The 26550-nt window shown below is 35.2% G+C and overlaps 1 long non-coding RNA gene across 1 annotated transcript in view; it reads left to right on the top strand.

Annotated features, from left to right (window-relative positions):
• LINC01492 (long intergenic non-protein coding RNA 1492) overlaps positions 1–26550 on the top strand; it is a 184506-nt gene that overhangs the window by 59852 nt on the left and 98104 nt on the right. The window contains exon 6 of the long non-coding RNA NR_121578.1: positions 532–658. This is a non-coding gene — a long non-coding RNA (long intergenic non-protein coding RNA 1492). The remainder of the gene's footprint in view (positions 1–531; positions 659–26550) is intronic.

Genomic DNA, 26550 nt, shown 5'->3' with positions numbered 1-26550 from the left:
TTTACACTTTGACCAAAAGATTAAACAGGAATAACATTACAATCAGAGACTGCTGTCTGTATGTATATCTTTATTAAATATGTTTATATTTTTCTTAGATATACTTTTAACATTTTAAATAAATTTTCCATGAGCCTGATAAAGACTGTTTACTCTCTCATACAGGGAGTTGACATGTTCTAGCATAAGTATTTTTTAGTTAAGAATTCTTTGTATTTCTGACAAATTTTGCTTAATATTTACTGAACATGTTGTTTGGTGTATTCAGTTTTAAAAGTTCTAGAGCATTTTCCTGTACCTCTGACAAAAACAGATGTACCTATTATACCTTCAACATCTATATAATTTTCAAGAAACAAGCTTGTTTTACAAATATTTATCAAACAACAACTATATCTTAATCTTGAATACAATGTGGAGGGTATTTTCCCTTGATAGTGTTCTTCAATTCTTTCTGGGGGGAGAAGCAGTAATTGCTAGACAAGTCATGAATTTGGCACATAATTGCTCTAAACTATTGTGTTTTAACAGAGTGAATAGACAACCTACAGAATGGGAGAAAATACTTGCAAGCTATGTATCCAACAAAGGACTAATATCGAGAATTTACAAGGAACTCAAACAAAACTCAACAAGAGTAAAACAACCCCAATAAAAAGTGAGTAAAAGACATGGAGAGAGATTTTTCGAAAGAAGACATACAAATGGCAATCAAAAGGCAAAGAGGCATATGAAAAAATGTTCACCATCACTAATCACCAGAGAAATGCAAATTAAGTGTAATGAGATACAACCTTACATCTGACAAAGTGGTTATTACTCAAAAAAAAAAAACAAAAAAAACAAAACAAAAAAAACAGATATTGGCAAGAATGCAGAAAAATGGGAAAACTTTTACACTGTTGGTGGTAATGTAAATTAGTATAAACCTTATGAAAAACAGTATGGAGATTTCTCAAAGAATTTAAAGTAGAACCAGCATTTGATCCAACAATCCTACCACTGGATATCTATCCAAAGGGAAAGAAATTATTATATCAAAAAGATATTTGCATTTGTATATTTATCACAGCACTATTCACAGTAACAAACATATGGAATCAACCTAAGTGTCCACCAACAGATGATTGGATAAAGAAAATATTATATATAATATATATTTTTTATTATCTATATAATATATATACATATTTTATTTTATATATATACACACACATATATATAAAATACTAGTCAGCCATAAAAATAATAATATCATGTCTTTTGCAGAAACATGGATGGAACTGGAAGCTATTATCTTAAGTGATATAACTCAAAAACAAAGTCAAATGTTACATTATATCACTTATAAGGGGGAGCTAAATAATGTGTATACATTATGTGGAATTATGAACATTGGAGACCTCAAAAGGTAGAAGAGTGGGAGAGGAGTGAAGGATGAGAAATTACCTAATAGGTACAATGTACACTATTTAGGTGTTAAACTACAAGCCCAGACTTCACTAGTACCCAGTATATCCATATAACAAAATTGTGCTTATATTTCCTAAATCTGTAAAAATATAAAAATGAAGCATTATTGTTGTTTTAAGGTAGAGAAAAGCATATAAATACATTATCATCTTTTCGTTAAAATGTTACCAGGAACTGCTGGATATAAAATATGCCTGATTCACATTTTTATTTATCTTACCAGTGTTTTCTAATATTTAATTTTTTTCTAATTCTTCCTTTAGAATAATTTTCTTAATTTTTTCTCTATTTTCTATACTTAGATTTTACTGTCTATATCCATAGGAGATATTTTAAATCTAAGACTCTCTATGCCAAATATTAGATTAGTCATTGTATTAGTCGGGGTTCTTTTAGACAGAATTAATAGGATATATATATGTGTATATATATATGTGTGTGTGTATATATATATGTATATATATATATGTGTGTGTGTGTATATATGTATAAAGGGGAGTTTATTAAGTATTAACTTACATGATCACAAGGTCCCACAATAGGCTGTCTGCAAGCTGAGGAGCAAGGAGAGCCAGTCTGAGTCCCAAAACTGAAGAACTTGGTGTCCTATGTTCGAGGGCAGGAAGGCCTGTCTCTCCTTTTCACATTTTTCTGCCTGATTTATATTCACTGGAAACTGATTATATTGTACCCACCTGATTAAGGGTGGATCTGCCTTCCCCAGCACACTGACTCAAATATTAATCTCTTTTGGCAACACCCACACAGACACACCTATGATCAATACTTTGTATCCCTGAATCCAATCAAGTTGACACTCAGTATTAACCATCACAGTCATCTTAAACAGTTTGTGAAAAAAATGTAGAACCTTTCATTCCTTGTTTGTTCCTTAATGGGTCTACTTCTCAATGGCCTTGTTCCCATGTTAGTAAGATTTTAAGACAAAGACATTTCATTGATATCTATCTATCTATCTATCTATCTATCTATCTATCTATCTGGCAAGCTAGCTAGCTTTATCTACCATCTATGTCCAACTTTTTTTTTTCAGATGAGAAACATTTGGTTATCTTTTCTTGGCAATTGCTAACTTGCTCATATTTCAAAATCAGTTTGAAATATAGAAGAGAAAGAACTATTTATCCTAATATATTTGATGCTCTGCAGTCAGCAGCACAGTTAAAAAGTCCATTTCAGAAAATATTAGGACAATTATATTCCACGTCGTTTCTTTCTTTGTAAACATTTAAGTTATATTGTCAAGCAAGTTCTCCCTGGTGGTCAGAGAAAATGCTCTTCTTGATGGAGAGAAGGCGTGTAAAAATAATCTAATCTGCCACTTTTATAAAATTTTTATTCACTACATTTCATTAAGTTTGCTTTTATAACTTTCACTAAGAGTTTTACAATGCATTTGGTATTGCCAAGTGCTTGATAATTCCCCAGCACGTATGGAAGTACAAAATAACACTTCCAACCTTTAAGATCAAACACTTTGGTAAATACCACAGATGCCAAATTGCTCTAGCAGGTGCTAAATTGCTATTGTTGTATCACCTTGGGATATGATGAAGATGAATGGAACGCTGTGCATTTTCCCAGTATTCCACAATTACTGGAACACCTGTGCTAAACAATGTGGTGCTAATGCACCATAAACATGCTCACAATACTCTGAGGACCTTGTAGTTTTACATTTCAACTTGCTTAGCAGGGCCTTAACTTAATGCAGGTGTTGGAAGTGTTTCACCTATCCTTGACACTGCTACTACATAGTGACATATTAGTACCATGCCAGTAAAAGTTGACTTTCTTCACTCTGTGTTTTGTTTTATTTCTTTCTTCCCTTCCTTTATTCACTCTAATATTTCCTTCCACCTGTTCTTATCTCATTGTGTATTGCTATGGGAATACGTAATGTCTTCCTTTGTTTCCCGTGAATTGTCTTCACCCCCTTGCTTTAATATCAAAGATCTATATCATTGTTAGCAATATAAGATGTTGTTATCACTGCTGCTCCAGCACCTTTGTTTTTAAGCAAATCGCTTTTGGCATATGGAAATGCCTGCAAACATATTTGTGATAGTTGTCAACCTGGCAACTGTTTGCAGATGTGTATATTTTAAAAAATTTAACCATTAAAAAACAAATAGCAGACTGGGCATGGTGGCTCATGCCTGTAATCCCAGCACTTTGGGAAGCCAAGGTGCGTGATTCGCCTGAGGTCTGGAGTTCGAGACCAGCCTGGCCAACATGGACAAACCCCGTCTCTACTAAAAATACAAAAATTAGCCTAGTGAGGTGGTACACACCTGTATTCCCAGCTACTTGGGAGGCTGAGTTAGGAGAATTGCTTGAACCCAGGAGAGGAAGGTTGCAGTGAGCCGAGATCACCACTGCATTCCACCGTGGGTGATAGAGTGAGACTCTGTCTCAAAAAAAAAAAAAAAAAAAAAAAAAGAGAGAGAGAGAAAGAAAAAAGGTATGTGTGTGTGTGTTTGTGGTGTGTGTGTGTATATGTGTGTGTCAATGTGTTTATGGTAACACCCCCTTGGTCATTGTGAATTAAGCTTCTACTGTTTCTGTTACAAATTTTAAGAGTTCTTGAGATATGGCCGGGTGCGGAGATACAATTCCCATACCATCCACACAGTTCAACATTTTAAAGCATTTAATACAATGATTTAGTATTTTCCAAGGATTGTGTGAACATTACCACAATGTAATTTTCAAAGACTTTTGTCCCCTGGTAAGAAAATTCCTATATCCACTTACAGTCACTCTCCATTACCCAAAGCCTGCCCTCCTCGTTTTTAGGAATACCCTATTATGTGTCTCTATAGGTTTGTCTGTTTTCTATGACCATGTTTTAAGTTAAACCCTTTATTTTTCAGTAATTTTACTTTTATGTAACTAAATGGAGATTTGTTTTTTCATTTTTTTTCTCCCCATGTGGTTCATAGAACTTTTGTAGTTGTGGCTTCATATTTTTTTTGTCATTTTTGCAGAAGCTATTTTCAGTTATTGCATCTGCCCTTTTTTCTCTGTCTCTCTTTTAGGCTATATTCGTCTTCCACAAGTGTGTGTATACCTTTCTATAGTCTATCTTATAGGCTGAGGTCCCGACAGTAGATTTCTACAAATCTGATAACTATATTTTAAATTGCATCATTTCAGGGTTGTGATATGTCTTCTTACCAATGTTCAATCTCTATCAGGCTTCGGAGTGATATTGGAAAAAGAAAGGAATATTCTGAGGGGCTGTTTTATATATGCCAGAATCCAAACTATTTTTTTGGATTTAGCTTAAATAACATTCACAGTTTGCAAGTTTCTCTGAAATAAACATGAAAGGATCTCTAAGAATCAAAGGCGTTTCAAGCTTGCACCTCCACAACTATATATGGTGTTTGTTTATTTATTTTGTTTCTCCTATCCTGATTGGAAAACACAATGTCCTTGTTACTTTTCATAAAAAGTAAACATGTAAGAGGCATGAACTATTTTATCACAATAGCTTCCAATGCTGTTGAAATATTGAAATCTGAAATATCTTTAGAATCAAGTTCCAAAATCACCATCCAGGCTTGTCCAGGGAGTGGTGACTCCTCAAAAATGATAATACAGAGATATGTAAGATAAAGAAAGATTTAATCATCCATGAATCTTAAGTGTTCATCAAACTCCAAGAATTTTAAACTTTCCAAATATCCTCCTGAACCATAGGTGTGCAAAAAACAGACAGTGATCTATGGAATGGTGGAGAATCAATCTTTTTTATATTATTTGAAGACACCTTACTTTTCAACTAAAATACCTGCCTGAAACTTGCATTGTGAACTCACTGTTAGGAATGAATGATGCTTAAATAAGAAGTTTATTATTAGGCTGGTGCAAAAATAATAGCTGGTTTTGCCTAAAAAATTGGGAAAAACTGCAATTATTTGTGCAGCAATTTAATAGTAAAAGAAATTTTTTTCTGCATATATTCATGAAAACATAAAATGATACGAAATGTTTATGAGAGTTTAATGGATTTTTGTTTGAAGGCACTTATTGATGTTTTCTTGAAGGCAAAGACTATTATTTTAAGAAAATGAGTGGCCGGGAGCAGTGGCTCACCCCTGTAATCCCAGCACTTTGGGAGACCGAGGTGGGCGGATCATGAGGTGGAGATCGAGACCATCCTGGCTAACACGGAGAAACCCCGTCTCTACTAAAAATACAGAAAATTAGCCGGGCATGGTGGCGGGCGCCTGTAGAGACAGCTACTCGGGAGGCTGAGGCAGGAGAATGGCATGAACCCAGGAGGCGGAGCTTGCAGTGAGCAGAGATCGTGCCACTGCACTCCAGCCAGGGCAACAGAGCAAGACTCCATCTCAAAAAAAAAAAAAAAAAAGAAAATGAGTAATAAGGTCAATGCCATCTCAAGCTTAAAACACTAGATAAATAAGGCAACCTACAGCCATTTCAATCACCTCCTCATTTACTCACTAAATTTTTATATCAAGGCCTATGCCTCACATTTTAACAGCTAATTTATTATACCAAATTACTGCCTTTCGAGTCTGCCTTAAGAAATAAGATAACAAGCCAGTTCGTATAAAGATCTTTGAGCCAAAAAGCAAATGACTGAGCTGAGTTGTCAGAGAAGAACTGACAGGACTATCCTGTGTTTTATATCACAGTGCTTATTTTTTTTTTTAATTTGAGAAAACATCAGTTTCCTGAATAAGTTTTAATGGCTTAATTATATTAAAGTATGACATGAGTCAAAATAACCACCTCGGAAAGTTAAACATATTCAACTAAAAAGGTAATGAAGTGAAAAGAAGTGGAAGATGCAATTCTAGTCTGGGAAGTATGCCCAAGTTTTCAATAAATGAATAATAAAAATGTTTGCATAGTAATAATCAATCCTTCCAATAATGAGTTTGCTGTCAGTATACAATCATGTTGAGTAATTAAATTCCAATGAATTCAGTTGCTAAGTCAGGCATATGTTTTGAGTTATCAGCATGGCCAGGGACCTTTCCCGGGTGCCTGCCTTGAGCCACTTGCCTGGGTCAGGTTAGAAGAATTTCTACAATAATAGCTACAATTTCCTTCTGTACAGGCATTGTTCATTAGATCAAGTTATTAACCAGTTACTGCTATGAGAAGGCAGAGAGGAATAAGCCAGACAGACTTAATCTGTTAGCCTGGCCATAGCCTTGCTGCCAGCTCACAGATCCCTGTCCAAGTTTGGGTCCTAGTCCTATACCATGCCTCAGAATGGTGTAAATACTTCCCTCTTAGCATCTTTCCATTCCCTCTAGTGTTCTGCTTCTCCTTCCTTCTTTTTTACTCTCTCTTGTTTTTCTCCCACTCTTTATCATGCACACACAGACATGAATTCACACATGACATTTGTCTTGTAATTTAGTACATATTCTTAGATGCTCACTCTAGAAAGTCAATGGAATTATCTAATGAGAATATATTCCTGGACAAAATGGACCCTACTCAAAGAGAAATGCTGACAGATGCTATCAAGAGATAATACATACCTTTATATGTGATATGGTTTGGCCATGTCCCCACCCAAATCTCATCTTGAATTGTTGCTCCCATAATCCCCACATGTTGTGGGAGGGACCTGGTGGGTGGTAATTGAATCATGAGGGCAGGCTTTTCTCATGCTCTTCTTGTGATAGTGAATAAGTCTCACAAGATCTGATGGTTTTATAAAGGGGAGTTCCCCTGCACAAGCTCTCTTGCCCCTTGCCATGTAAGAAGTGACTTTGCTCTTCCTTCATCTTCCACCATGATTGTGAGGCTTACTCAGGCATGTGGAACTGTGAGCCCACTAAACCTCTTTCCTTTAGAAATCACTGAGTCTTGGGTGTGTCTTTATTAGCAGCATGAGAATGAACTAATATAGTAAATTTGTACCGTGTAGTGGAGCACTGCTGTAAAGACACCCGAAAATGTGGGAGCAACTTTGGAACCTGGTAACAGGCAGAGGTTGGAACAGTTTAGAGGGCTCAGAAGAAGACAGGAAAATGTGGGAAACTTTGGAACTTCCTAGAGACTTGGAGGACACAGAAAACAGGAAGATGTGGGAAAGTTTGGAACTTCCTAGAGACTTATTGAACGGCTTTGACCAAAATGCTGATAGTGATATGAACAATAAAATTCAGGCTGAGGTGGTCTCAGATGGAGATGAGGAGTTTTTCGGGAACTGGAGTAAATATCACTCTTGCTATACAAAGAGACTGGCATCATTTTGGCCCTGCCCTAGAGATCTATGGAACTCTGAACTTGAGAGAGGTAGGGTATTGGCGGAAGAAATTTCTAAGTGGAAAATAATTCAAGAGGAAGCAGAGGGTAAAAGTTTGGAAAATTTGCAGCCTAAAAATGCAATAGAAAAGAAAAACCCATTTTCTAGGGAGAAATGCAAGCCAACTGCAGAAATTTGCATAAGTAACAAGGAGCCAAATGTAATCACCAAGAAAATGGGGAACATGTCTCCAGGATACGTCAGAAATTTTCACAGCAGCCCCTCCCTTCATGAGTCTGGACACCTAAGAGGTAAAAATGGTTTCTTGGGCCAGGTCCAGAGCCCCCTTGCTGTGTGCAGCCTAGGGACTTGGTGCCCTGCATCTCAGCCACTCCAGTCATGGCTAAAAGGGGCCAAGGTACAGCTTGAGCCATGGATTTAAAGGGTGCAAGCCCCTAGTCTTGGCAGCTTCCATGTGGTGTTGAACCTGTGGGTGCACAGAAGTCAAGAATTGAGGTTTGGGGACCTCCACCTAGATTTCAGAGGGTGTATGGAAATGCCTGGATGTCCAGGCAGAAGTCTGCTGCAGAAGCAGAGTTCTCATGGAGAACCTCTGCCAGGGCAGTGCAGAAGAAAAATGTGGTTGGGTCAGAGTCCCCACACAGAGTTCCAACTGGAGCACTGCCTAGTGGAGCTGTAAGAAGATGACCACCATTGAAAGCAGACAGGTGAGGTGCTGTACCCTGCAAACCACAGGGGTGGAGCTGCCCAAGACCGTGGGAGCCCACCTCTTGCATCAGCACACAATGGATGTGAGATGTGGAGTCAAAGGAGATCATTTTGGAGCTTTAAGATTTGACTGCCCCACTGGTTTCCAGACTTGCATGGGGCCTGTAGCCCCTTTGTTTTGGCCAATTTCTCCCATTCGGAATGGCTGTATTTACCCAATGCCTGAATCCCCATTGTGTCTAGGAAGTAACTAACTTGCTTTTGATTTTACAGGCTCATAAGTGGAAAGGATTTGTCTTGTCACAGATGAGACTTTGGACTCTAGACTTTTGGGTTAATGCTGAAATGAATTGAGACTTTGAGGGACTATTGGGAAGGCATGATTGGTTTTGAAATGTGAGGATATTAGATTTTTGAGGGGCCAGGTGCAGGATAATATGGTTTGGCTGTGTCCCCACCCAAATCTCATCTTGAATTGTAGCTCCCATAATTCCCATGGGTCATGGGAGGGGGGCCCAGTGGGAGGTAATTGAATCATGGGGGGTAGGTTTTTCCCATGCTATTCTCGGGATAGTGAATAAGCCTTATGAGAGCTGATGGTTTTATAAAGGGGAGATCCCCTGCACATGCTCTCTTACCCGCCGCCATGTAAGAAGTCCCTTTGCTCTTCCTTCATCTTCCACCATGATTGTGAGGGTTTCCCCAGCCATATGGAACTGTGAGTCCATTAAACCTCTTTTATTTATAAATTACCCAGTCTTGGGTACGTCTTCATTAGTAGCATGAGAACAAACAAATACGATATGACTTTACTGTAAACATGTAAAATTATAATAAATAGCATAGTCTTATGTGTTAGTCACTGTCCTGCAACTTACCAGATGGATGATCTAACAGAAGATATTTAAACGACCCTCAGTTACATTACAGGCATTATTGGGAAAATCATACCATGAATCTTGTATAATTACTTTGAGAAGTAAGAGTGATAATGTCATAGAGGGCCTAGTACAGTGCTTGAAACAAAACTCAGGTATCTAATAATTTATGTAACCATACTCACATTGTATGTATAATATAAACATGAAAGTTGTTCATTAAAAATATAGTCAAATTTTATTTGGTGTTCTTTTTTAGCATTGGGTAGTTGGGGATATTTTCTAAATTGAAATCATCATTAAAAATATTATAACAGTCAATTTCTCTACACTGACCCAGGCAACCATTAAATTACTTTTTCCTGATACTTGATTATGTTTTGACTATTTGGGAATTTCCAATGAATGGGTTTATACTGTATCTGTTCATTGGCAACTGGCTTGTTTTGTTCATCATATGGCAAGGGATGGAGAGAAACATTTTTAGGCTGACGGAAATATTGTATACATTAATTTTGTGGTGATAAAATAGGTGTATACATTTGTCCAAAAGTCATTAAATGCATAATTAAAATGGGTCTATTTTATTATATGTAAATTATATCTTCATAAAGATGATTTTAAAAAATAACCCGGCACAGAAAACTCAAGGCCAAAATGCATTTTGTGATAAAATTCTTTAAAATTTCAGAAAGAAATACTGTAAAGACTTCCCCTTCTCTCAAAAAAAAGAAAAAAAAAGGAAAACGCACACACACAGACAGGGAAATAAAACCTCTCCAAGTTATTCTATGAAGTCAGCGTGATCTAGAAACCTAACCCTCACAAAAAAAATTTACAAGCAAATTGCACTAATAAACATAGATGCAAAAGTTCTAAAAAATAACAGTAAATTAATTCAGCCAACAATTTTATTATATGAAGATCATATGTGTACATGTGTACATACATACATATAATTATTATGACAGAAGGATTTTATTACAGAAATGCAAGTATGTTCTATAATAGATGTTTTAATACTGTAACTCAACATTTTAGAGAAAAAAAATATCATATGACCACATGAAGAGACAGAGAAAGCATTTGATAAAGTTCAATACATTCATTTTAAGCCCTTAGCCAATTAGAATGATAAAAGATCAACTTTAACATGATAAACATTATCTACAAAGAATTTACAGCAAACACTGGACTTAATGCTGAATTACTGAAACCTTCTCATTAATATATGAAAGGAGAAAATTAGGCCTAAAAATAATAATTCTCTTGTTTGACATCATACTGAAGATTGTAGACAGAATGATGTTAGGGAAAAATAATGTAGATCATTAGAAATAAAGATATAAAACAATGTATTTGCCCCCCAAATTCAAAGCAATTATGGACTGTTAATTTGAATTAAATGTATGTTCGCTGTATACAAACTCAAAATAGAAAAAATATTATATCCCCACATATAAGCAATATGCAGAATATAAACATTATTAAAACAATAACATTCCAGTAACCTCAAAAACAACATATCCTTGGGCTAAATTTGATAAAAGTTGCTCAAAATCTCTATATTAAAAATTTATTTAAGATAAATTTAGTATACATATGTAACTAACCTGCACGTTGTGCACAGTAACCTAAAACTTAAAGTATAATTAAAAAAAAGATAGATTTAAAATTACCTAGATTATTTTCAGTATTTAGTATATACATTTTGGACACATTTTGTTTTATATATATATATACCTAATTATCGTAATGTTTGATACAATTTTAAATTTTAGATTTAAATTTCAAATGGCTTATTGGTAGAATTTAAAAATAGAATCTATTTTTTATATTAAATACTCATCTTAGAATAATTTAATATGACGGGATACAGACATTCAAATAATCTTTAATACATATAACAAATTTAAGAAATTAATTGGTAATTTTTATGGATACATAATATTTGTACGTATGTATAGGGCATATGTGATATTTTGATGTAAGCATACAATGTGTAATGACCAAATTAGAGTAATTGGGATATCTGTCACCTTAAACATTTATCATTTCTTTGTGTTAGAAACATTACAGTTTCACTCTTGAAGTTATTTAGAAATATACAAAAATTATAATTAATTATAGTCACCCTCTTGTGCTACTGAACACTAGACTTACTTCTTCTACCTACCTGTATTTTGTACCCATTAACCAACCCTTTAAAACAAAGTCAGATACAGTAGCATACCTGTAGTTCTGGCTACTCAGGAGACTAAGGTGGAAGGATTGCTTGAGCTCAGGAGCTCAAGTCCAGCCTAGGCAACATAGAGAGACACTATTAAAAAAAAAAAAAAGTAAGAAACAAATGAAAGAGGAAACAACAACAACAAAAATCAACAAATATTTTCTGAGAAACTACAGTGTCTCATGTTTCATCCATTCTAAGTCCTTGGAATACACAATTTATAACAAAATGAAAAAACCAAAAATCCTGCCTTTGTAGTGTAGGCATCCTGGTAAGTGAGATCAATAATACCTAAAATACATAATAATATGTAAAATATGATGTAAAGTTACCTGACATCACAATAATTATACCTAATCCTCAAATCTCAGGCAACACTAAACCTTTGCTTCTGATGTGTCTATGAGTCTAAACGGGGGTTCTGATGCTCTCACCTGAATTCGTTTATGTGCATGAGTTAGCTGAGGGACAACTGATTTGCATTATGCTCAGCTGGGATTGGCTTCAATCTGCAAGTCGCATCCAGATCCATTCCTCATGTCTCCCACGGTCCTGAAACCAACAAGCTCTCAGGTACATATTCTTGGGATGGAGATTGCACAGCAGCTAAAGACAAGCTCCACTGTGCAAAAAATTTAAAACTTCTGCTTAATTCCATCTGTTAACATCATCTATTGGCCGAAGCATATCACATGGTCCCAAATACATGCTTATTCTGAAATAATTCTCATATTACCACACACAAAGTCAAGGGCAGAAAAGCATATACTCACATGGAGGCAGGGGGATTTAAAAACATTTAAAGGATAATGTAACCCAGCACAGTTTATACGTGCTTGCAAAAAATAATACATAGGATGAAGGGGATTGGAAATGTGAAGCATGGGAAAGGAGTGGGTTATCACTTTAAGCAGTGTAGTCACTGAAGGAATTAGGAGAAGGATGACATTTGAGGGAAGACTTGAAGCAGTAAATGAGCTATGTAGCTTGTTGGGAAAAAGTATCCCGAGGTAGGAAGTCCAAAGTGGTTTGAGCTTGATAAGTATACGGAAAGAAGTATAAGATGAAGTCAAAAAGGTAAGGGAGATTACTCAATCTTATGGATATTATAGAATGTTATAACTTTGCTTTTTATTGGGGTGAAACTGTAGTGCTTTGATCAGAGAAGTACAATGTCAGGCTTAAAAAGATTATGGACAACTGTGTTAAGGATGGACTTTTGGACACTATTCATCATGGATCTTGTACAAAATAAATGGAATATTTAAACAGGGTGATTTGGACTTTCTTACTAAACATAAAATTTCATAAATTTCAGCTCTCTAATGCTCTGTTCTTTGCTTTGGGTGATTCCTCACTTCTGGTCATCAGTTCATTAATTGCCCCTGTGATCTCATTTACTTTATTGAATCTGCTGTGATTCTGGGTGCTGCTGGATTGGAATCGTTCAGTGCGCAATTAAACGCCTTTAAATTTAACTCAGCTGAAGTTTGTCTTTTATCAGTAGTTACATCGTAGGGGAGTCAAAAGTTACACGTGGATTTTCAACTACAAGGGTCAGTCACCCTAACCCCTGCATTGTTCAAGGGTTAACTGTAGATCTTTTTATATCCCACAGTTCATGGTACTTCTTTTAATTACTTTATGAGTGTTACTCCTTTGTTCATCTTTGATAATTTTAAGTGTACGTATTTAAACCTTTGGAACATGGTTCTGTTGTTTTAAATTCTTATGCACAAATCTGTGGGTGATTTGGCTTTAGTGCTTGTTGGTCCTCTCATGACATTTACACTGATATTTCGTAACTTTTACTGTGCTCAGCTTTCTTGAAAATTTATTTTTCCTTCTCTTTTCATCCCTGTATTAGGCTGCTCAGTATATACAACAGAACTGATATTGTATTAATATCTTGGAGTTTCAGGCTCCTGGATAGATAATACACGTGGTTCCTGAGATTGGGGAAAGCGTAAAGCAGATTCTGAGCAAATTGACTATCCTCACTACTTCCGTCTTTAGGTTTTATGTACCTTGCATCTGGCTGCACACTGGATAGGCTGAATAGGTTGGTGGGCGCCTTTGTAATGACACTACCAGCTTGTTGCTTCCTGGTAACAGGAAGAAAAAAAAAAGCCATGCAGATTTCCTACTACTTGTAGGATATGCTAGGCCTTGTTTTCTTAGGCATCCGAAGTCCTGATTTCCATTGCCTGCTCCTGATTTGGCATCCTGATTTAGGCTTCCAGGTCTTCAGCCCACATGCTTTGATTTGATTTTCTCTTCCATTCCTGGCCTTCGACATTATTATTTTAATCATGGTTATGCATTTTATAGTAAAAATATGAAATATACTTTTTGTGAGGAAAGCTTCATATTTCTTTACTCAATTAAACTACAGTCAAAATTTTAGAGCCCTCACACCAGGAAGCTCTCCCTCTTGCAGAATATGGTAGCGTACACATCTTTCTGAGATTTACTTGAGGGCAACAATGATGCTTTATAAAATAATAACAGGAACTCTAACATAAAAATTATGCACAAATAAATAAAAGAAAAGCATTTAAAATATATCTTTAAAGCTCCCTTCTTTTGTTACTTTAATGATAAAATGAAATCTCTGTCATATAGATTTTTAAAATTATCATATTGAATAAAAAGAGCTGCGTTGGCTACAACTACCTGGATCCTTTTAGAGGAGAAAAAAAAAAGGCCCTTAGATATCTTGCACTTACACATCTGTATTAGTATCCCACAGAGTGCTTTTGAAAATTCTTTGTTGTATTTGTCTGCAGTGAAAATCAATGCAAATTTATCATAACTTTTATTCTTTAAAAAGATATGAAATTCAAGGGTATAACCACTTATATATTACATTCCCCTTCTGAAACAATTAGCATAGATAATGGTTTTTTCAAATTTTTTCTAAGTGATACATTCTAATGTACCTGTGGCAAAAATATATTCACTGATTTAAAACACATGCATCTGAAATCTTTGAATATGTAAAACAGTGTATTTTTACAATTTTACATAAATGTATTCAGTTAAGTGTTAGGCTAAATATAACCTTCCTTGGACAAGGTTAATATTGTAGTTTAATTATAATGTGTAGGAGGAAATTTGATGTGCTTGTTACAATTTTTAAAAAAGATTTTTTACCATTATTATCCAATTATTCCAAATATTCTCATTACTACAAAATAAACTTTTATAATTAAATTATGAATTATTAATTATGAATTGTGTGAATTATAAAATAAAATATGAACAAAGTTTTTGTAATTAATATTCTGTTTTTACTTAAAAAAATTGCAGCTTTTTTCCCCCAACTAATGTTTTCAGGAACCCATCTACTAAATCTGATGAGATAACCAGGTAAATTGTTTTAAAAACTTGTCAATACTTGAATTCTCCCAAATACTGTACACACACACACACGCGCACACACACACACACACACACACACTCTTTTTTGGTTAATCTAATAAGTTCTGTGAATTTTATTATATTGTCCTTTGATTTTTCTTGGTAGAAGCTTCTTTCTCCAATTAGAAGAGCTAAAAGTTAATTTCTTTATTTTTCCACTTCCAGGGAGGTGTACTAACTATACTTTTCCCTATTCCTCCTGTAAAGTATACTTAAATTCCTGGATATTTGTGTGAAGAAAACCAGGAAAGTTATTCAACTAATATTTTTAATGACAATTTTATTGAGATAATTGTAGATTCATATACGATTATAAGAATACCACAGAAAGACACCATGTACCCTTTTTGAGTTTTTGCAAAACTGTAGTACAACTAGGATATTGACATTGATAATGTCATCTGATCTTATTCAGATTTTCCCAGTTTCAGTTGTCATTGTGTGTGTGTATTCTATACGGTTGTATCACATGTATGTGTTCCTGTATCCACCACGATGTTATAATTGGCCTTCTTCACACAGCATAATTCCCCGTAGTCATCCAAGTTGTTATACATATCAATAGCTCATTTCTTTTTATTTCTTTGTAGTATTCCATAGTGCATATGCATTACAGTTTGTTTAACCTTTCACCTACTGAGGGACAAGTGGGTTTTCCAGTTTCGGGTTATTATGAATAAAGCTGCTATGAAAACTTGTAAACAAGTTTCACCCCTCTGGGGAAAATGTCAAAGAATACAATTGCTGAGTCTTATGGTAGTTTCATATTTATTTATATGAGAAACTGCCCAACTGTTTTCCAGAATGTCTGTACAAATTTACATTCCCATCAGCAATCTATGAGTGATACTGTTTCTCTGCATTCTTGCCAGTATGTGGTATTGTCCCTTTTAAAATTATTTTTGTCATTCTCATGAGTGTGTAGCGACATTTTGTTGTAATTTTCATTTGCATTTCCCTGATGACATTTATATTTTTATGTAAGTCTATGATCCATTTGGAGTTAAATTTTATATATGTTGTAAGGTTTCCATTCGGATTCTGGTTGTTTTTTGTTTTTGTTTGTTTGTTTGTTTGCCTATACAAGTCCAATTGCCCCAGCACCACTTGTTGAATAGGCTATATTCTCTCCATTGAATTGGTTTTGTATCTTTGTCAAAAAGCACTTAATATAACATATTTGAGTAAGTCTATTTCTCGCTTCTTTATTCCACATATATGTTTAATGGTATTCAGCACTATACAAGGTGCTAGAGATATGAGAGATGCTAAGGTGTCTCAGTCATGATCCTTGTCTTCAAAGTACTCAAGATACTACAAGTGCAGGAGGCTTAAGCAAATGTGATAGAACATAAAAGACACCGAGTTTGAAATCTGCATCAGTATCTGCTTGGGGCACAATGGAGAGAGGAGGCAATTTTGTGTAAGGAGAGAGATTTCAGAAAGGGCTCTAAAGAATAGGTTTAACGTGATTGATGACTAAGTAGATAAGGAGAGAAGGCATTTCAGGTACAAGAAGAAGCTCATATTTATACAGGCTTTAAATATGCAAATGTATAGAGATTTGAAATGGTCTGGGACATTTGGAAAACTGCAGATAGTTTGGTACAGCCTAAGCATAGAGTTCAAAAGGGCCTGATGAGAGATGAGGCTGAAAGCATTAAGAATATAAACCATAAAAGACCTGTTTAACATTCTAAGGACCTTAGGAAAAGAAAGATATTAAATAATTTGAACGTACAATGTGACATAATTAATACAAAAGGAACCATTATAGACTTTATATTCCTTTCTTAAAAATCAATTATACCGTATATTAGTATTAGCTTCTGCACTTTCTCTCTCAGTTCTTAGAAGTGGATTTTTATTTAGCCCCTGCACTTTCTAATTCAGTTCATACAAATAAAATTCTGCCCATACCCTTAAAAATAAAGTCCCTACACATTACAGATAGGGGAAGAAAAGGCTATTGATTCAGCTCCAGAAGGACAAGAAGTTTCAAAATTATAGTCGTTTAAAATAATATTTTAGATAAAATTAGAATCTAAGCATTTACAAAAATTAAATCTTGTTCTGTATTTAGAATCCTTGAAACAGTCCTCCTGAAGATACTGTCTGTTTCCATTTTGAAGCATATGGACTAAAGTGCCTCCTTTGTAAATGTGCCTTTCTCCCTTGTTATATTAATTGATCTTCATGAATATGACTAATCAAATCAATGCATATAACGTTAGAATCTTTGCTTGTTGGAAGATTCTTAAAATTCTGTTTTTACCTGTTCGATGTTTTAAGTTGTATTTACTTGTTACTGTGAAATCAATTACAATGAAAGCGTTTATAATTATAAACAAAGGAGTTTATTCTGAAATGCTTTAATAAAATATTTAATTTGCATAATTTTCATATATATTTTAGTTTTGTGAGGCATAAAACCAGGTACTGATCTTAGCCAAAACCTACTTAACAAAAACACCAACACATGAGAAAAATAACAGGTATTCTAAAAATATCATGCTAAAACATAGACCAGAATAAAATTAAAAGATTCCTGGAAACTTTCCATGATCAATAGGAGATAAATTAGCACGGAGTGATGGTATGGTAGATGTGTGAGTAGCTTCACAGATCATTCTAATTGCCCTAAGGATGATGTTTTTGTACAGTAATCAGTAAAACAGTGATTAAATTCTTTCTCCTAGTATCAAGGTAAAATCATACCAGACAATATAACTAGAAGATGTAGCATTTAGTAACTATTAGATAAGTTATAACTTTGATTAAAGTAAATTTCTTACCCCTGGATTCTCGGTTTCCATTTTCACATGGATTTTTAACTTTACCTTTACTACCTTCTTTCTTTTAGCTTTTACACATGCTTAAGGACAGCAACTTTTTTTGTTGACTCTGCACTTGCCTCATTTTAGACTTTCAATCTCCCCTCTGCTTAGATCTATCATCAGCGGACTCTGATGACACATTGCTATGGTTTACCTACTCAGATAACTGTTGCTCTTCACTATTTTCTACTGTATTGTCTTCCCCCATCTGCTTTTCAAATCTTGACATTTCTCACAATTGTGTTATAGAACAAATTTTGTTCTCACTTTATGCTCTCTCTCTCTCTCTCTAGGCAGTTTCATCCATTCTCATTGTCTTAACTATCATAAATAAGCTGTTATTTTTATTCTAGCCCATGAGTTGAAAAGCCATATATATTCAATTGTTAATGAACATAGGAGAGGATAGTTTAAAATAATCCCTTTGGGAGCTTATAAAGAATTTTTCATTTACTAGCTTCTTTTGGAATTGTATAGATAAAATGGATAATAATAACAATTTTGCAGAAATAATCTTCTTGGAACAAAGACATAACTATTAGTATTCTCATAAACTCATTCTGTGCCCCTAAATGGGCAAGGCTATATTTTGTTTTTGTTTTTTTCTTTATACAAAGAGAAGACTGAGATGTAGACACAATGGTAGCAGTTAAGAAATCCTCTGACAATTGATTTCAACTTTATGGAATTATCATACAGCTTACAAGTTTCAAAGCATTTTTATTGCTGATAACATACACACAGAAAAGTGCACAAATCCTAAGTCTGCAATATGAACATCTACACATAACTTTATTCAGGTAAAGAAATGAAATATTATCATCATCTCATAAGCTCCTTTTCTGTCTGCTCACAATTATTAGTCTTTTTTTTTCTTCCTAAGTGTAATTAACTACTAACCTGACTTCTAACATTCAAGATCAGTCATGTCTATTTTGGATCTTTATATAAATGAAATTATTCTGTATACATTATTTTTGTATCAGGCTTCTGTTTCTTTTAGTTTAGGAAGTATTTTTTTTAAATGGAACACAGACCTGTAGACTTTTGGCAACAATTATAAAACTCGTAGGTAACTGATTTTAAGCTTTTGTGTCTCACACATAAACCATCATTAGTTTTGATGTGCTGATTGCATAACACCATTGCCGGTTCAAGCTCATTAGAGACAAAACTGACTTGGGAAAAAGAATTATAATTTATCCTCATCAAAATATATGGGTTTTCTTTTTGAGAAGGTATATAGACCAACAAGGACAACTGAAATATATTACTAGGTCTGCATTAGATTTCTGTGTCTATTAGCTAAGGAGCCTGCAGATACAGTAATGATTTTGGACATGCTGTTTCTAATGAGAATGCTGAGGTTGTCTCATGAATTCTTATGCTCTAAATACACAGAGCAGCCTGCAAAGGCCTCAAGTACATAACTCACTAGAAAACTTAAATTAAAATTTGGCCCAGGGGAGTAATATATTTTAAAACCAAATTTTGTAAAATTGGAATTGATTTTGAAATGGTCTGTTGGTGAAACTATAGGCTCAAAACAAAAGCACAATAAATGTGGTCAAGATTACCTGATTGTTCCATGTGATATTTATTTCATCAAGATTATAAAATATTTTTTTCTAGTGAGGGAAAGGTAAACATTATGCTAAGCCCTGTGAGTCACTCTTCTTCACTGCGTACTTAGTAACACAGGACTTTTGTTATCAGCATCTCTAACATTATGCATTACAGTTAAGCACAAGGCAAAATCTGATCATGAGGCTCTTAATGTGACAAGTATAACAATGGATCTCAGGCAGTGCTTGAAGGACTAGAGATCTAAGAGGTTTTGCATATGCCCAAGTGAAACTAGAGAAGCCTGGTGACTCTACATACAAAACTACAGATCTCCTATGTAAAAGAAAGGTATACAAATGCAAGGGAAATTTCAGTTTCTACAGCAGCCTGGACTTTTCATTTTCTAAATAATACATGTCTTCATAATGATAAAAGCCATTTTAATTTTTGAATGAAAAGTTTCTTCTCATCCCTAATTGCCATTGCATCCTCATGCCCAAGTAATACACTACCCATCAGAAGCTATATTTCCTATAATCTCTGCATTATTATGGAATGCCCTGGATTCTACCCTGGGTGATTTAGAATTGATAGCTGTAGTGGTTAAACTATTTTCTATGTAAATTAGGAAGTAATTAAAAATTCAGATTTATTAAGTCATGCAATCATTTGTGTGTTTAAGGAATTTTCGTATGGCAAAGACTAGCAAGTTAACTACACAGATGGTCCCCGATTTATGATGCTTCAATTGAAGATTCTTTGGATTTCTTATTGTACAAAAGCGATAAACATTCAGCAGCTCAGTAACTTAAGATGGGGTTATGTCAGTATAAAACCATTGTAAACTGAAAATATTTTTAAATAGTTGGGGACATAATCCTATAGTAAGTTGAGCATCTGATTATTATCTATCTGACCCATTTTACTGATGAGAAAATTGAGGTTGTATAATGCATGCTGGAGATTATATACACACACACACACACACACACACACACATATATATATACACACACACACAATACATATATATATAAATTTCCATAAAAGGAACACATAATTTGTGAACCAGATAAAAGAAAATTCCTGACCATTATAGTATGATAAAGTACTATATTTCTGGGATATAAAATTCTGACTTGGACAGTGCCAGAATAAAGCTTTTGTTACATGGTATATTGAGCCCATGCAACAAACTTTACTACAGTCTACATAATCTTGCCAGACTGCATAAAAATCTCTGCTATACACAGTTTTGAAAATAAAGATTCTCAGAATACAATTGTCAGAGGCATTTCAACCAGAGCAACTCCATCTTGAATAGAAGCTGGGTAAAATGAGGTTGAAACCTACTGGGCTGCATTCCCAGATGGTTAGGCATTCTAAGTCACAGGATGAGATAGGAGGTCAGCATAAGATACAGGTCATAAAGACCTTGCTGTTAAACAGGTTTCGGTAAAGAGGCTGTCTAAAACCCACCAAAACCAAGATGGCGATGAGTGTGGCCTCTGGTCATCCTCACTGCTACATTCCCACCAGCGCCATGACAGGTTACAAATGCCATGGCAATGCCAGGAAGTTACTCAATATGGTCTAAAAAGGGGAGGCATGAATAATCCACCCCTTGTTTAGCACATAATTTTTAAAAAACCACAAAAGTGGACAACCAGCAGCCCTTGAGGCTGCTCTGTCTATGGAGTAGTCATTCTTTTATCCCTTTGCTTTCCTAATAAACTTGCTTTCACCTTACTCTATGGACTTGCCTCAAATCCTTTCTTACACAACATTCAAGAACCCTCTCTTGGGGTCTGGATCAGACCCCCTTTCCAGTAACACAATAATGAAAAAAGCCTTAAAATATATTTTTGAAAAGCTTTCTTGTTTGGGAAGCTGTACACACTTCTAAAATCATTTAGGTAATTAATTAGGATACCAAAGATAATAATTTAATATTAAATACTTTTGTACTTTGTTCCTGCATGTTTGACGGACAGGAGAAGTTGATGGTGACTGAAATTCTGAAAATATGCAGTCAGCACTTTTGTCTTCATGTAAGTAGTTTGTAAAAGACCGATTTGATAGCTAAGAATGAAAAAGAATTAGGAGAGATAAATTATGTAAACTTTCTTTATTAAAGTGAACAGTATGCAAATATTCAATTTCTCTTTTATTTCAGCTGAGTTAGCCAATGATTGATTGCTTTCTATTTTAGTATGTTAATGAATTTTTTTTTCATTAGAATTCTCCATAGTTCTTCTCAGTATTTAAGAATTATTTTTTTCAAAATTAAGTTGTGGCAGTATAAATTGCAGCTCTCCAACAAACTGAAATAGAGCATTATTTATAGCAAAATATATTATGTGTTTAGTCTTTATTTGTCCTTTTCATCTCCACTTTCCTATCTTTTATGTCTCACAAAGCAATTGTCTAGCACATGATGCTTATTCATTAATTCAATCACTCATTAATTAGCAAACATTAACTGATTAATTACTCTTTGACAGATTTTACACTGCTGTCTGCATAAAGTTTCTGGCATTCTGTTGGAAACAAACGTTAGTCATCTCCTAATTTTCCCTTGACTGTCATCTTCATTCTGTAGGTGCTGCTCTCCTCTCTTACTTCACAGAAAAACTCTTAAATTACAAACGTTGAGGGTACCACACCGTCCCCTTTTCTATGATCAAGCAGCTGGCCAAAGGGCTACACAGGTTCAGGCTTTTCTCATATGTTCTGGATTTAGATGAAACAGTACACCACAGATTATCAAATCTGACATCCTAAGTTCCTCCAAATGGACCAGATGATGGAACCCAGAATAAAAATAAAATCTTCTCCCCATGGGTCCAACTCTGACTGATAGGAATGACAGAAATTCCCCCCTCACCTTGATTCCATAGACCACACCAAAGAATAGTTTACCCTCCTAGTCTAATCAGACAAATCTTGTGTATTTAGTATGCGAATCCTCCTAGCAAGTCTATCTTTACCCTTTATCATTAACTGGTAGCAAGACCGATAATGCAACACTCTACAGTACCTACTATCCTTCTTTCACATCCTATGTCTGACATGTTTACCATTAAATTTTGAGTACTTAACATACTGTCTAGCACACACTAAGTAATCACCTGTCAGCTGACAATTTTCTCTATATGATATTGCCATGTTACATCACTTACTTTATATAAGATCTTTTCTTGGTAGTAAAATTCCACTGTTGCTACTGCTATAGAGATCAGTGTTGTCAGAAAAATAATCTTACACTGGGTCATAGTGACTATCTCTTGCTGTAAAACAGTCGTGTCAAAAATATTACCCAAAAACCCAAACAAACAAAACTTAAAATTTGGGGGGATGTTTTTCTGATTTGATTTACAAAAGATGTATTAAACCAAACATGAGGGCTTCAAGCAAAGACCATTTTTTTCTTTACTCTCCCACATTATGCTGTCCTGTTTCACAGGGCAAAACTCACAGTGGTAGGTGACTCATACAGAGGCCAGCGAATTGCATCTGCTGAATTATCAGCATCCCTCATTCTTTTAATGAACTGTAACAACAGTGTAATGAATCAATCAGCCATGGGGAAAGGATGCCCTGGGGGTGAGCAGCAGAGCCTGTGAGACTGAAATCTTTTAAATGAAGTGAAATCTGTCTTCAAAGCCTACCAATCATTTAAATAACAGTGCAAAGAATCTTAATATGCCTGCATGACTGAAGTAAGCATTTTGTAAGTATTACACCAGCTGTATTAAAGATTTAAGGGTGAGGTTTTCAGATCAGTATGCTTATATATACTTAGCAATACTATATTTAGAAAGTATGAATTGGAAGATATACATTCTTTACAATTATTAGGGGAAAAAACTAATATTTTTATAAATACTACACAGGTTCTTTGCCTGAATCACTTCACATACCTGTACAGTAGCCACATGAGGCAGATATATTTTGCCATTTAGGCGCATTTCTGTTTCATAACTTTAAAATTGCTGAAGCCTGGATTCAACAGTACATTTGTATGAGTCAAAATTTACATTTCCCCCCTATTGTATCCCATAGCTTCAGCATCTGGTTTCTCCTTCCATACTTGCTAGGATTACACTAAATTTTTTAAAACTTTTAAGTTCGGTGGTACATGTGCAGGTTTGTTTTTTTTTTTATTTTTATTTTCTATTTTTTATTTTTTATTTTTATTTTTATTATAGTTTAAGTTTTAGGGTACATGTGCACATTGTGCAGGTTAGTTACATATGTGTACATGTGCCATGCTGGTGCGCTGCACCCACTAATTAAACTAAAGAGCTAGGAGTGGTGAGAGAGGGCATCCCTGTCCTGTGCCTGTTTTCAAAGGGAATGCTTCCAGTTTTTGCCCATTCAGTATGATATTGGCTGTGGGTTTGTCATAGATAGCTCTTATTATTTTGAGATACGTCCCATCAATACCTAATTTATTGAGAGTTTTTAGCGTGAAGTGTTGTTGAATTTTGTCGAAGGCCTTTTCTGCATCTATTGAGATAATCATGTGGTTTTTGTCTTTGGCTCTGTTTATATGCTGGATTACATTTATTGATTTGCGTATATTGAACCAGCCTTGCATCCCAGGGATGAAGCCCAGCTGATCATGGTGGATAAGCTTTTTGATGTGCTGCTGGATTCGTTTTGCCAATATTTTATTGAGGATTTTTGCATCAATGTTCATCAAGGATATTGGTCTAAAATTCTCTTTTTTGGTTGTGTCTCTGCCTGGCTTTGGTATTAGAATGATGCTGGCCTCATAAAATGAGTTAGGGAGGATTCCGTCTTTTTCTACTGATTGGAATAGTTTCAGAAGGAATGGTACCAGTTCCTCCTTGTACCTCTGGTAGAATTCGGCTGTGAATCCATCTGGTCCTGGACTCTTTTTGGTTGGTAAGCTATTGATTATTGCCATAACTTCAGATCCTGTTATTGGTCTATTCAGAGATTCAACTTCTTCCTGGTTTAGTCTTGGGAGAGTGTATGTGTCGAGGAATTTATCCATTTCTTCTAGATTTTCTAGTTTATTTGCGTAGAGGTGTTTGTAGTATTCTCTGATGGTAGTTTGTATTTCTGTGGGATCGGTGGTGATATCCCCTTTATCATTTTTTATTGCGTCTATTTGATTCTTCTCTCTTTTTTTCTTTATTAGTCTTGCTAGCGGTCTATCTATTTTGTTGATCCTTTCAAAAAACCAGCTCCTGGATTCATTAGTTTTTTCAAGGGTTTTTTGTGTCTCTATTTCCTTCAGTTCTGCTCTGATTTTGGTTATCTCTTGCCTTCTGCTAGCCTTTGAATGTGTTTGCTCTTGCTTCTCTAGTTCTTTTAATTATGATGTTAGGGTGTCAATTTTGGATCTTTCCTGCTTTCTCTTGTGGGCATTTAGTGCTATAAATTTCCCTCTACACACTGCTTTGAATGCATCCCAGAGATTCTGGTATGTTGTGTCTTTGTTCTCGTTGGTTTCAAAGAACATCTTTATTTCTGCCTTCATTTCATTATGTACCCAGTAGTCATTCAGGTGCAGGTTGTTCAGTTTCCATGTAGTTGAGCAGTTTTGAGTGAGTTTCTTAGTCCTGAGTTCTAGTTTGATTGCACTGTGGTCTGAGAGATAGTTTGTTATAATTTCTGTTCTTTTACATTTGCTGAGGAGAGCTTTACTTCCAATTATGTGGTCAATTTTGGAATATGTGTGGTGTGGTGCTGAAAAAAATGTATATTCTGTTGATTTGGGGTGGAGAGTTCTGTAGATGTCTATTAGGTCCGCTTGGTGCAGAGCTGAGTTCAATTCCTGGGTATCCTTGTTGACTTTCTGTCTCGTTGATCTGTCTAATGTTGACAGTGGGGTGTTAAAGTCTCCCATTATTAATGTGTGGGAGTCTAAGTCTCTTTGTAGGTCACTCAGGACTTGCTTTATGAATCTGGGTGCTCCTGTATTGGGTGCATATATATTTAGAATAGTTAGCTCTTCTTGTTGAATTGATCCCTTTACCATTATGTAATGGCCTTCTTTGTCTCTTTTGATCTTTGTTGGTTTAAAGTCTGTTTTATCAGAGACTAGGATTGCAACCCCTGCCTTTTTTTGTTTTCCATTTGCTTGGTAGATCTTCCTCCATCCTTTTATTTTGAGCCTATGTGTGTCTCTGCACGTGAGATGGGTTTCCTGAATACAGCACACTGATGGGTCTTGACTCTTTATCCAATTTGCCAGTCTGTGTCTTTTATTTGGAGCATTTAGTCCATTTACATTGAAAGTTAATATTGTTATGTGTGAATTTGATCCTGTCATTATGATGTTAGCTGGTTATTTTGCTCGTTAGTTGATGCAGTTACTTCCTAGTCTCGATGGTTTTTACGTTTTGGCATGATTTTGCAGTGGCTGGTACCAGTTGTTCCTTTCCATGTTTAGCGCTTCCTTCAGGAGCTCTTTTAGGGCAGGCCTGGTGGTGACAAAATCTCTCAGCATTTGCTTGTCTGTAAAGTATTTTATTTCTCCTTCACTTATGAAGCTTAGTTTGGCTGGATATGAAATTCTGGGTTGAAAATTCTTTTCTTTAAGAATGTTGAATATTGGCCCCCACTCTCTTCTGGCTTGTAGGGTTTCTGCCAAGAGATCCGCTGTTAGTCTGATGGGCTTCCCTTTGAGGGTAACCCGACCTTTCTCTCTGGCTGCCCTTAACATTTTTTCCTTCATTTCAACTTTGGTGAATCTGACAATTATGTGTTTTGGAGTTGCTCTTCTCGAGGCATATCTTTGTGGCGTTCTCTGTATTTCCTGAATCTGAACGTTGGCCTGCCTTGCTAGATTGGGGAAGTTCTCCTGGATAATATCCTGCAGAGTGTTTTCGAACTTGGTTCCATTCTCCCCATCACTTTCAGGTACACCAATCAGACGTAGATTTGGTCTTTTCACATAGTCCCATATTTCTTGGAGGCTTTGCTCATTTCTTTTTATTCTTTTTTCTCTAAACTTCCCTTCTCACTTCATTTCATTCATTTCATCTTCCATTGGTGATACCCTTTCTTCCAGTTGATCGCATCGGCTCCTGAGGCTTCTGCATTCTTCACGTAGTTCTGGAGCCTTGGTTTTCAGCTCCATCAGCTCCTTTAAGCACTTCTCTGTGTTGG

Source organism: Homo sapiens, chromosome 9, assembly GCF_000001405.40.
Source record: "Homo sapiens chromosome 9, GRCh38.p14 Primary Assembly".
Classification (NCBI taxonomy): domain Eukaryota; kingdom Metazoa; phylum Chordata; class Mammalia; order Primates; family Hominidae; genus Homo; species Homo sapiens.
This window is presented reverse-complemented; position numbering and strand designations above follow the sequence as displayed.